This window comes from Homo sapiens, chromosome 9 (assembly GCF_000001405.40).
Source record: "Homo sapiens chromosome 9, GRCh38.p14 Primary Assembly".
In the NCBI taxonomy this organism is placed as follows: Eukaryota; Metazoa; Chordata; class Mammalia; order Primates; family Hominidae; genus Homo; species Homo sapiens.
Window position 1 is genome coordinate 125,368,524 of NC_000009.12, and position 13,323 is coordinate 125,381,846.

Genomic DNA, 13,323 nt, shown 5'->3' on the forward strand with positions numbered 1-13,323 from the left:
CCTCTTGGCCATAAATGTGTCCTCCACCTAAGGATTGAAGTATTCAGCGAAGAGCTTTTGCTTCACTTATTTCATTCCAGAAGAATCCTTTCCATCCACTTAGGGTAGTAAAATATAGCCCATAGATTTAAAAAAAAAAAAAAAAAAAAAAAAGACCCATGCCCAGAGAAAGTGTTTTAGCTCATGCCTGTAATCCCAGCACTTTGGGAAACGAAGGCGGGAGGATCACTTGAGCTCAGGAATTTGAGGCCAGCCTGGGAAACAATGAGACCTGGTCTGTACAAAAAAAAAAAAAAAAAAAATTTAAATAAGCCAGGCATGGTGGCACATCCCTGTAGTCCCAGCTACTTGGGAGGCTGAGGTGGGAGGATGGCTTGAGCCCAGGAGTTCCAGGCTGCAGATTGGGCCACTGCATTCCAGTCTGGGTTACAGGGCGAGATCTTGTCTCTAAAAAAAGAAAAAATATATATGACCAAAGAACCATATAGGCTATTGTGGAGATCCAGAACACCGTCCACATTTTATGCTAAAGCGGAAACAGCTCTCAGTTCCAAGTCCTTGGACCTGTTGTAAACAATGAATGTGAAAACCATGGTAATCTTATTTCTGTTAGCTGTTTAGGAATTCAGCGTATTGCTGGTCGAAATATATGCTGTGACCCACCCTGACCAACTAGATCATCTTTGGGGATGGGGCCCAGGATTTGGTGCTCTAGGGAGTTATACTATATAAACTGTTTCCCAAACTTCCCTGTTGAGAATCACCTGGTATTCTTGTTGGTATATAAGAGTCCATAGGGGAGGGAACCAGGAATCTTTGAACAAGTCCTCCCAGTGACTTTTATTTTCCAGAGAGTTTTTGTTTTTGAGACAGGGTGTCACCCTGTCACCCAGGCTGGAGTGCAGTGGCATGATCCTAGCTCACTGTGGTCTCAAACTCCTGGGCTCAAGTGATCTTCCTGCCTCAGCCTCCTGAGTAGCTGGGACCACAGGTGCATGCCACAACACCTGGCTAATTTCAAAAAAGTTTTTCAGAGATGGGGTCTTGCTTGCTATGTTGCCCTCTCTGGTCTTGAACTCCCAGGCTCAAGCGATCCTCCTGTCTCAGCTTCCCAAAGTACTGGGATTACAGGTGTGAACTGCCATGCCCAGCCTCTCCAAGAGAGTTTGAGAAGCACCAGGAGAGCTTGCACTTGATGAAGAATGAACCAGTGGCCCGCCTACCCTCATCGCCCACCTGGGGAGGTTCATAAAACCACAGACTCATGATCCCACCCCATACCCATTGAATCAATTTCTGGGGAAGATGCCAGGAATCTGCATTTCTAGCAAGCTCCCCATCTCACTGAAACTCATGAAAATGTATGATCCACTGTGAAAGTGGTTAACTCCTAAACACTTGGCTTCATAGCTCACAAGGGTAATAAGCATGAATGGGGAAGCCCCTTTAAAAGAATGAGAATTGTTAGCCTACAGCCAATCCAATGATTCCTTTAAGGATAGCTCTTTTTATATGCTTAGAATGAAGCATTTTCTTTACTCATAACTGCCTGTTATGTAACGCTGTTTCCTTAGCCTCAAATTGCTAAACATTTCCAGAGAATCATGGTGTTCAATGACATACCCAAATTTATGTATGAAAAATTCTTAGAGTCTAATCTTTCTGTGTTTAAGCTTTTAAAATGTTTTTTTGTTTGTTTGTTTGTTTTGTTTTTGGGTTTTTTGTTTGAGATGGAGTCTCACTCTGTCACCCAGGCTGGAGTGCAGTGGTGCGATTTCGGCTCACTGCACGCTCTGCCTCCTGGGTTCAAGTGATTCTCCCACCTCAGCCTCCCGAGTAGCTGGGATTACAGGCATGTGCTACCATGCCTGGCTAATTTTTGTATTTTTAGTAGAGACTGGGGTTTCACCATGTTGGCCAAGCTGGTCTCAAACTCCTGACCTCAAGTCATCTCCTGCCTTGGCCTCCCAAAGTGCTGGGATTACAGGCGTGAGCCACCGCGCCCAGCCAGTTGTTTCATTTTGATTGTTTTGTGACCATTCATAACTGGTGTCCCATGTAAAATAACTGCATTGGTTCCCACAGCCCTTGACCTCTGACTTCACTTTTGTTTCCCCAGTGCTGCCTCTGCTGAAAGTAAAAGAATTTCTCCTCTTCTACTTCTCCTCCCACATTTGATGTGTGGACTTCCATGCCTGGGTTCCCTCCCCTAGGTCCCTTTACATTTTGATCACTGGCGACCCTATTTTCCTTTTCGTGTGGCTGTGGCGGTGACAGCAGAGGCTGCATCTGCTGCTGCTGCTTTGGGGCAGCATGCTGTGAGGAGAAGAGTGCAATGGAAGGGGACAGATGACAGGAAGTGCTCAGGGCCATCCGATTGTCGCAGCGTCCTCAGGGATGCCCCTGCCACAAGCCCCTCCACAGCTAAGTGGGCCATACCAATGAGCCTGAACTAGTCCTTTCCCTCCCTGGGCCACTCCCGCCATTACTGAAAAGCCACAGGTTCCCAGCGGTGTTTGGTTATGTTGCTAGGCTCAGGAACTGGAAGATGGATCTAATCTGAGCTCTGTCTCTAACCAGACCTAAGGCAAGTGGCAACTCCTTTGAAGGCGTTTCCTGATTTGGGCTTTATTACCTCACGGATCCCCTGCAGTTTTACCATCTACATAAAATCTTGAACTATTTCTCCTGTACTGGCCTTTAATGGAGGGGGTGGTTAAAGTGCAGGGACACAGTGGAGGCTGCCAGGAGCACGGGGGTGTCCGGAACCCTTGATCAGGAAGGCTGCCCACTGAGCTGACTCAAGAGGGGACTTGATAGTCTTGCCACTGAACACAAGTTCAGGCCCCAAGCTGCTTTTTGTTTTTTGAGACGGAGTTTCGCTCTGTTGCCCAGGCTGGAGTGCTATGGCGCGATTTTGGCTCACTGCAACCTCCACTTCCCAGGTTCAAGCAATTCTCCTGCCTCAGACTCCCAAGTAGCTGGGATTACAGGCACATGCCACCATGCCCGTCTAATTTTTGTATTTTTAGTAGAGATGGGGGTTTCACCATGTTGGCCAGGCTGGTCTCGAACTCCTGACCTCAGGTGATCTGCCCGCCTTGGCCTCCCAAAGTGCTAGGATTACAGGCATGAGCCATTGTGCCTGGCCCAAGCTTCTTTTTAACCTGGTATATTGTGGGTGAGGAGACAGGCCAGGGAATCCTGGAAAGGTGCCTCCTCTGACACCGGTCAGCAGGGCAGTTGCCAGGGAGGGCCTGCGCTGGACTTGCCAGGAGCACAAGGACCACCTGTGCACAGGGCAGACACTCAGAGCCCTTTTTGGTGGTTGTTACTATTTATCTTTTTTTTTTTTTTTTTTAGACAGGGTCTTGCTCTATCACCCAGGCTGGAGTGCAGTGGTAAGATCATGGCTCACTGCAGCCTCGACCTCCCAGGCTCAAGTGATCCTCCCACCCCAGCCTCCTGAGTAGCTGGGACTACAGGTGCATGCCGCCACGCCTGGCTAATTTTTTTGTATTTTTTATAGGTGGGGTCTCGCTATATTGCCTAAGCTGGTCTTCAACTCCTGGGCTTAAGCTATCCTCCTGCCTCAGCCTCCAAAAGTGCTGAGATTACCGGTGTGAGCTACCGCGCCTGGACATTATTAATCTTTTATTGTTATAATAGCTTAATGGGAGAAGAAAAGATTGTGGTCTATGCATGTATGAAAATTAAGAAGATCATGTTGTAGATTGATTTGCAGGATTTTTTAAAGGCGCCCTGCCTTTTTTCCTCAGCGGGGTTCTTGAGCATCCATCGGTGATCGGTGGTCGCTTCTCGCAAATCTTCTGTTTCATTTATTTTGGTTGCTAAGTAGGGAGATCCACCTTTATCTGGGTGATTCAAAATCACGATTCTCCTGTGAGCTGCTCTAATCTTAGCCTTGCCAGCAGGTGAACTTACACCTAAAATAACACTAGCTTTTCTCCTACTCATTTTCTGTTCAAATCCTCCTTTGTAATAGGATGACAGGCTAGGAGTTCAAAGGTTCTCTACTGCTTCTGTGATCCTTGTTCTAGAGGTTTCCAGGACTGCGACGCACAGCGACCTGCAAAGGCAAGAGCAGCAGCACCCAGCCCTGCAGCTGTCACAGTTCTTGCCAGTCCCTGCTGGTTGGTATCTGCGTCTGACTGAGGCATTTGGCCAAGGGCGGCAAGTACTCAGTGGGGTGCAGCCCCTTGATGGCAGGGGTGATGCCACCATGGACAGCCAAGAGAACCCATTTTTTTATTTTATTCTAGATTCAGGAGGTACCTGTGCTTGTTTGTTACATGGGTATTACATGCATAATGATGGGGTTGGGTTCCTAGCCTACCCATCACCCAAATATTGGACACTGTACCCAGGAGGCAGTTTATCAACTAACAGGCTGGGTTGTGAGCTCAAGTCCCTTTCCACTGTGGTCATAAACAGTAACCACAGTGGAGTGATTCCTGACACATGATGCCTTTCTGGGTCCAGATACTTTCATCCCTATGTGCCCCACCCTACACGCCTCTTTGTCACTCATGCCTGCCGCTGCCCAGCCTTCTTCCCTGGCCCAGGCTCTGGATTGCCCAAACCTCCTGAGGGGCCCTTGGCAAATGTCTCTTTTGTGTTGTGCGTGTGTGTGTGGCAGGGTCTCACTTTGTCGCCCAGGCTGGAGTGCAGTGGCACAATCTCGGCTCACTGCAACCTCTGCCTCTTGGGTTCAAGCGATTCTCCTGCCTCAGCCTCCTGAGAAGCTGGGACTACAGGTACACGCCACCATGCCTGGCTAATTTTTGTGCTTTTGGTAGAGACAGTGTTTCACCATGTTGGCCAGGCTGGTCTCGAACTCCTGACCTCAAGTGATCTACCCGCCTTGGCTTCCCAAAGTGCTGGGATTACAGGTGTGAGCCACCGCGCCTGGCTGGGAAATGTCTCTTAAACCTGTCCCCCGCTGCCACAGCCAGTTTTTCCACCTCCACAATCACGACTGACTCCTAGTCTCCCTGCCTCCCTCTCACCCCTTCTCCTAGGTGCCCTTAGAATTCATCAAGTCTGGCCAGGCACGGTAGCTCACACCTGTAATCCCAGAAATTTGGGAAGCCGAGGTGGGTGGATCACCTGAGGTCAGGAATTCGAGACCAGCCTGACCAACATGGAGAAACCCCGTATCTACTAAAAATACAAAATTAGCTGGGCGTGTTGGTGAATGCCTATAATCCCAGCTACTCGAGAGGCTGAGGCAGGAGAATCACTTGAACCCGGGAGGCGTAGGTTGCAGTGAGCCAAGATCACGCCATTGCACTCCAGCCCGGGCAACAAGAGCAAAACTCCACCTCAAAAACAAACAAACAAAAAAATTCATCAAGTCTGAGCAGATTCCTCTTCTGCCTAAAATCTTCTCTTTTCTACCTGGGTTCTGTCCTGCCTTTTCAGCCACATGCCTCTGGTCCTTCTCCTTCCCCTCCAGCCAGCCCCACTCCAGCCACTGAGAACTATCACCTTTCCCAAAGTGCTGCCCTTTGCCGGCCTCTAAGCCTTTGCTGATGCCCAGATCTGACTGCCTCCCCCACAGTCCTTCCTCCTGCCTCAGATGGCCCTTCTGGAGGAAAACCCCAGGTGCCCCCTCCTGCCTCCCTCCTCAGTGAGGCCTCACCCCCATCCCTCCCTCTCCAGAGCAGTGTCTCCCTGGAGCCTGTGCTCCTAGGGGAGGGCATGCCTCCAAATGGCAGGTGTCCCTAATGTTTGCAGATGGGGATGGATGAGAGGCAGAAAGTAGCCCTTCAGGGCGGGGATTCCACCATCTTTTCCTTCCAAATTCAGGCCCTGCTGGGACAGGAACTATCCCTGTCGTGGTCCAGGGCCAGGTAGTTCTTCACGTCCTCTGGGAAGACAGAGTGCCCCAAAGCCCTTGATCTCCAGTGGGTAGAATTAGGTGGGGCAGAGGCTGTGCCACACCAGGTCACACCTCTCCTGTGTCTGCTCCCACCCCACCAAGCACAGGGCCGGGATGAGGATGCCTGGAGCCCAGCTCAGTGCCTGCCTGGGTTGCAGCCCTGATCACACCAAAGTGTCTTGTCTGTTTGCAGCCCTTTATCTGGCTAGCAGGGTTTAATTTTACTCTGGGAAGGTGGGATTTTTGTCCCTATTTACTTATTATTTTCGAATTTATTATCTTTAGGTGGCATCTACAAATCGGCGTCCTCTGAGGGCAACAGCGCCCCGTTCTGCTAGAAATCCCGAGATTTGCAGCCACTGCAGCACGCTGCCTCTGCGGCTTCTCCGCACCATCCCCGACCCCTTCCCCCGCGAGTCTGCCGTCGGCCAGTTTCCTCCCAGGCCCCGGCTTTGCTGTTCCTTGGGTGACATCTTGTGGCCAAGGACAGGTACAAACCATTGGCTGAAAAGGAGGAGCAAAGGCAGCCCTCAGCCCTCTCTGGAGGAGCCTTGGGGCGCCTTCGAGGATGCCCAGGAGGGCAGGGGGCTCCTGAACAGGGAATCGGCTCTCAGACCCCGAATGGGCTTGCACCAAGCCCTTCATGAGACAGCTGTGGCTGGAGCCCAGAATTCACCCAGGCCCCCCGAGGCAGACACACCAGGTTCCTCTCTGCCCACCCTGCGTTGTGGCAAATAATCATTATTCCCGATATAAAGCTTTTCTCTAGCAGCCCAACGACAAGGTTATTATTCCAATCTTACAGATGCAGCAACAGCCCTGAGCCACAGCCAGTGACCTGAGCCCAGCCCACAGGTGCCAACACTGTAAGATCTCACTGGACACAGTCCTGAGAACTGTGGGAGCCACCTGTCCCATTCTCTGGGAAGGTGCTCTGGGGAGGCGCCTGTGTTGTTAGTCATGGCCATGCCTCGAGTTCCAAAACCTTCTTCATGGCCTGGCATGGTGGCTCACGCCTGTAATCCCAGCACTTCGGGAGGCCAAGGCGGGCGGATCACTTGAGGTCAGGAGTTGAGATCAGCCTGGCCAACATGGTGAAACCCTGTCTCTACTAGAAACACAGAAGTTAGGCCGGGTGGTGGTTCACACCTGTAATTTCAGCACTTCGGGAGGCTGAGGCGGGCAGATCACCTGAGGTCAGGAGTTCAAGACCAGCCTGGCCAACATGGTGAAACCCCATCTCTACTAAAAATACAAAATTAGCTGGGCATGGTGGCGCGTGCCTGTAAACCCAGCTACTTGGGAGGCTGAGGCAAGAGAATCACTTGAACCCGGGGGGTGAAGGTTGCAGTGAGCCGAGATCTCGCCATTGCACTCCAGCCTCGGCAACAACAGTGAAACTCCATCTCCAGAAAAAAAAAAAAAAAAAAAAAGAAACACAAAAGTTAGCCTTGGTGTGGTGGCGTGCACCTATAATCTCAGCTACCTGGGGGGCTGAGGCAGGAGAATCGCTTGAACCTGGGGGGTGGAGGTTGCAGTGAGCCGAGATTGCACCACCACACTCCAGCCTGGGTGACAGCGAGACTCCGTGTGCAGGCCCGGGGCTGACGCTTCCCACATGACGTCACAGAGCCTTCACCTGGTAGTGGGCATTGTAAGGGCTGCACTTCACAGATGAGGAAGCCGAGGCTCAGACATGCAAAGGGGTTTATTCAAAGCCACATAGAAAATGCATGGCAGAGCCAGGATCCAAATCCAGGTCTAGAGGATGCCCAAATCTGTACTTTTAGCTACTGAGGGATCCTGTCTGCCCTCTGCAAAACCAGCCCCACAGCATTGTGAGGGCTCATGTGAACTGGGGAGCAAACTGTAGAGGATGGTGCCCACAGCAGGTCCTTATTATCCTGATCCTGGTGTTTACTTCCCATGTGCACTCGAGTCCGTCAAGGGCAGGGCCAGACACCCGGGCATCTGTAGTGCCAGCATGAAGCCTGGTGCCCAGCCGGCATCAGCAGATCAGATTGAATTTGAGCTGCCAGAGCAGGGAAGACCTGCTTTTCCACACGGGGCCCAGGGCCACTTCCCAGTGTCAAGGTCATGGTAAGGACAGACCGACAGTCTCCACCTCCTGATTCAGGAGGAGAAGGGGTGGGTGACCCACGCCTCCTCTTTGCAGCAGGCTGGCACCTGGGCTCGCAGGCAGGGCCCAGAGGGAGGAGGCCTGGCGCTGAGGATCCGCCGCAGGCCCGGGAGGAAGCAGCAGGGCAGGCGGAATATAAATGCGGCTGTGAAGGCAGAGGAACAGATGAGGGAAAGCCTCCAGGTGATTGGGTGGAGAGGCCCCGCCAGGGCGGATGCCTCCTCTCTGTGCACAGACTGAGCCCATGATGAAGATGAATGGAAACCCCTTTGCTGGAAAACATGTGGGTAATCAAGAAGGCTACCGGTGCCGAGGGGCCCTCCCACCTGCCCGGAGCAGGGGAATATTAGGATTTGGAATTTCAGCAGCAGCCACATAGTTAGCACGGAAACTAGGCAAAACTGATATGCAGCCACCATTACAGGATAAATGGTGCAGGGCGCCTGGTAGCTTGGCAGGAGTTAGTGGACTCCAACTGCAGCTGTGGGAATCAGGCAGCTGCTTTCACAAAAGAAAGGCAGCCCGGGTTGGTGAAGACCCAGGGCCCAGCTTCCCACCCCTCCGTAGGGTGGCGTTAGCCACCAGACTTTCCTGCTGGTGGTTGTGGGATTCTCTTCAAGGCTGGTTCAGGGAGGGGATGGGAGATTGTTCTGGGGGTTTCTTAGCATTTGCCAACAAAAACTGAGCTTGCAGCGTTCAGCTCCCACCTGGGAGGCAGGACTGATGAAGACACTGTGTCTCCATCTTTCCAGACCAACAAAATCCCAATTTTTCTCAATATGTCCACGGCAGAGCGATACGTGATTATTTGGTCGCATGCACGGTGGACCAGGAAGAGAGGTTTGCTGAGTCAATGAATACTGTCGACAAGTTTGCAGGGGGCATGTTTAACTCACTTCAGGTGCTCTGGAAGCATTCGCACGATGGCTAAGCTAATTACAAATCACGCCTATTTATTCATTAAACAGGGCTTGGGGGAAATTCAAAGAGGCAACACTGCCTTAACATCATTCAATTTGCAGTCTGTGATTAAACGGAACACAGCTGCAAGACTCCAGAAATGTTGCTAATTTCTGCCTTTTCCCTGGTTCGGACTGACTTGTTCTCTGGGGGCTACACCTGTCCTTAAGTGGGGTCTTGTCATCCTTCAGCCCCTCAGCGGCTCACTGGCTGCTTGTGATGCTGGGCAAGTGCCTTCACTAGCCTGTGTCTCAGTTTCCTCATCTGTAAAGCGGGCTCACGAGCTCCTGGCTGCCAGGATTCCTGCAAGGAATAAGGGACACGTTGGATGTTCAGTGTTCCTTCTGGAACCCTGCTAATAGCTGTGTGCTGAAGTGTCCTTCTATGTCTTCCTCCTTGGCCCTTGTACACACATAGGCTGTCACAAAGACAGAGGCCCCAGGGTTCCCCAGACAGCCCATGACAAGCAAAGGCTGTAGCTGCTGCTCCCTTAGGGCTCCAGCATGGAGCCTGGCAGGCAGAGGCTCCTTGCCCAGCGCTGGCTGGAACCGGCCTGCTGCCTCCATTCTAGGTTGGGTCTTGAATAATCCCACATCCAAGGTAACCCCTCAATCCTGAGCAAACTGAGATGGTTGGTCACCTTACCCAAGAGGGAAGGCTAGATTCTCAGGGTCCTGGACAGTCCCAGGCAAACCAGGACCATTGGTCACCCTGCTCTTGGTGCCCTTGAAACTCCTCTTATCGGAGTTCCTAAAAATAGAGCTAACTTTACCTTCAATCCCTGGAAACATCTGGGAGGCCCAAGGGTTATTCATTATCATCAATAAATTATAAGAGCCAAACAGCCAACGTTTGCTTAGCATTTTCCGATTCATGAAGTGCTTTCAGTGTGTGGGATGTTTCGGATCTTCCTTTCCACGTGCTGAGTACCCACTGCTGGTGTGGGACATGTGAGTTCAGCAGCTGTGGGAGGAGCAGAGGGATCTGTCCCTTGTCCCCTGTGAGGCCATGGAGCTGGCAGCTCCTTGGATTCTTCCATCCTCAGCTCAGTGCCTAGTTCCTGTCCCTTGATTCTGTCATTCTTGTTAGACATTCTCCCATGTCTAGAAAGGATCCCCAGCCAGGAAATAAAATATTAGCTTGAACCCTATGCCATGTCCCTTTTTATAGATCTCAAGCAGATGAATACGGGACATTTCACAGGGTTCCTCCTAATAGAGTACTGGTAATGTTCAGACCCAGGAGCAACATGAGGCACCTAGCTTCTCTGAGCTTCAGTTTCTCATCTGAAAGACGGGGATCTTAATTGTTTCTGCTTCCCCATGTTGCTGATGGAATTGAGTGATCCACGGAGGGATTTCAGCAGTGGTAGGCGCTCTCTCCATTGCAGCGTTTGCTTTGGGCTTTGCATCTATGTGTGTCCTTTGTGTTTCCGGGTTGACTGGTCAGCGGCTGATAAACATTTGTTGAATGAAGGAGTGGAAGTAAATGCATTTGTCTTCCTCCCATTGGTGTTTCCCAAATGACCTTGAACTCAGACGGGCTCTTCCTCTGCCCCACTTCCTTTGGAAGCCTCCCGGTAAAACACCCCGTTTCCCATGGCTCCCCATGGAGGGCCTGATGGGTTTGGAGACATGTTTCCATCCCCCCTATGGTTTCTAAAACATACAAATCATTCTGGCTGCACGTCTGTGTTTCATTACTAGGAATGCACATTTGAAAACAACAGAGGGTGAGGTTTAAAAGCAACATGCAATTTTTATTACATATATCTCCAAATCTGCCATTAGGCCCGTCCCCGTGGTGTTATTGACCTTGATTCTTTCTCATTTGCATCCTGCATTTTTCATCCTTTGGAATATGGTGTTTTGGGACTTCTCCATCATTAAGTGGATTTACAGCAATTTCCCTGTGTGTTTTCTCCAAGGGATTCTGTTATGAGATGCACATTAAATCTCCATTAATACCTCATTATCCGACTGATAAGATTACCATGATAATGAGGCAGAAATTCTAATTGTTTCACTTCTTATTGTGCCTTCCATTTAATCCTTTACTCTACCTGGAAGTTGGTCACGAGCTGGGGAGCACCAGGCAGAAAAAGACCTTCTGATTGGAGGACCGGAGGCTGGGACCACTGTGACCAATAGTGATTGGGGAAAGAAAGGAGGTGAAATGGTGTTTAAATGCATTTCCTAGGGAAAAAGTTTCAGGGTGGAAAGCCATCTGGAGTGGGCCTTGTTGAATTCAGAGAGTGCCTATGTTCCAGTTCAGTACACATTCACACATGTGCACACAGACACAACCACTCAAACACACGCACGCAAGACACACACACATGCACCCGGACTTCAAGCTTCAAGCTCAAGAGAGCCCAGATTCTTTTTTCTTTCTTTCTTTCTTTTTATTTTTTAGACAAGGTCTCACTCTGTTGCTCAGGCTGGAGTGCTGTGGCACGATCATGGCTCACTGCAGCCTTGACCTCCTGGAGTCAAGCAATCCTTCCACCTCAGCCTCCCAAGTAGCTGGGACCAAAGGCACATGCCACCATACCTGGCTAAGTTTTTTTGTTTTCTGTTTTTTTGTTTTGTAGAGAGGGGGTCTCACTATGTTGCACAGGCTGGTCTCAAACTCCTGGGCTCAAGCGATATGCCTGCCTCAGCCTCTCAAAGTGCTGGGGTTACAGGCATGAACCACTGTGCCCAGCCAAGAGAGCCCAGAATCTTGATGTCATGCTTTATTTTCCTACTGGCCTGGACCCCCTTCCAGAATGTTCCTAGCTCCAGAAGGCTGCATGAACCTCCCTTCCAGATGGATGAATTCACTGGACTGTCAGAGGGTGCTGAGCCAGCAGACCTTGGGGGTAGGGACCAGAGGGATGAAGACAGTGAGGGAAGAAGAGGCCTCTTCAAGGAGAGGCTTCGCCAGGCCCGTGTGTGAGGGGTGGTTCCCACCAGGATGTCTCTGGGTCCCCCAGGTGTGCTTGTCTGCTGCAGATCAGGTCCTTCCATCTGTTGGGGGTGGGGTGGTCCCTGGAGAACGGTCCTGGGAATGACAGGTTTCCAGGCTGTCAGGCTCAGAGTGCATGAGCTGTGCATGTGTCACCAGGAAATTCCCCAGAGCGGGGTGGCTTGAAATACCCGGGCTCCCCTCGGCCTTTATCCTGCCTCTTCCACCTGGAGAACAGCTCCCCAACTCCTGTGGGGTCCCTACCTTGAGGCAGAAGCAGTAGCTTGATCTCGGCTCACTGCAACCTCCCCCTCCCGGGTTCAGGCAATTCTCCTGCCTCAGCCTCCCAAGCAGCTGGGATTACAGGCACCTACCACCACGCCCTGCTAATTTTTATATTTTTAGTAGAGACGGGGTTTCACCATGTTGACCAGGCTGGTCTCGAACTCCTGACCTCAAGTGATCTGCCTGCCTTGGCCTCCCAAAGTGCTGGGATTACAGGTGTGAGCCACCGCGCCCAGCCATGAAGGAGCATTTTCAAAGCCTCTGCAGGGGTTTGGAAGTACCTAGAAGGATGGTGACTGTCACAGCAGAGGGTCTGTGGCTTGGAGAAACAGTGCATTCCGGGGCCCAGTCCCTCAGGCGTCTGGAGAGCAGGCCAGCTGGGGGGCAGGAAGCTGAGTCCACTTCCACAGACCGATGGCAGCACCTCTGCTGGCCCGGGAGGAGCTCCACGCTCCCTGGACAATGAAAATATCCTTATGCGAATGCAGTCTCTCCACAGTCATTCTAGGTTTATGGGCAGGAATGCTGGCATTCCAGTCACCAACAACATGCCACAAACTGGGTGGCTTAAAACAACAGAAAATTATTCTTTCACTGGCCGGGGTCGGTGCCTCATGCCTGTAATCCCAGCATTTTGGGAAGCTGAGGTGGGCAGATCACTTGAGGTCAGGAGTTTGAGACCAACCTGGCCACCATGGTGAAACCCCGTCTCTACTAAAGATACGAAAATTAGCCGTGCATGGTGGTGGGCACCTGTAGTCCCAGCTACTTGGAAGACTGAGGCAGGAGAATTGCTTGAACCTGGGAGGCAGAGGTTGCAGTGAGCTGAGATCGTGCCGCTGCACTCCAGCCTGGGCAACACAGGCTCCATCTCAAAAAAAAAAAATGAAAAAAAAAGAAACTTATTCTTTCATAGTTCTGGGGACTGGAGTCTGAAATCAGGGTGTCAACAGGGCCGTGCTCCCTCTGAGACGCTAGGTGGGTCTTTCATGGCCTCTTAGCCTCTGGTGGTGGCCATCAACGCTTCGCGTTCCTTGGCCTGCAGCTGCCTCACTTCAGTCTCTGTCTCTTGTCACAAGGCCGT

General features: G+C 51.3%; 1 annotated feature.

The window, feature by feature from the left end:
- Nucleotides 2,555-3,055: an enhancer, noted in NCBI's record as "H3K4me1 hESC enhancer chr9:128133357-128133857 (GRCh37/hg19 assembly coordinates)". NCBI's record gives its function as "activates a minimal SCP1, AML or CMV promoter by ChIP-STARR-seq in primed H9 embryonic stem cells {active_cell/tissue: H9 hESC(primed)}" and the evidence as "EXISTENCE:reporter gene assay evidence [ECO:0000049][PMID:30033119]".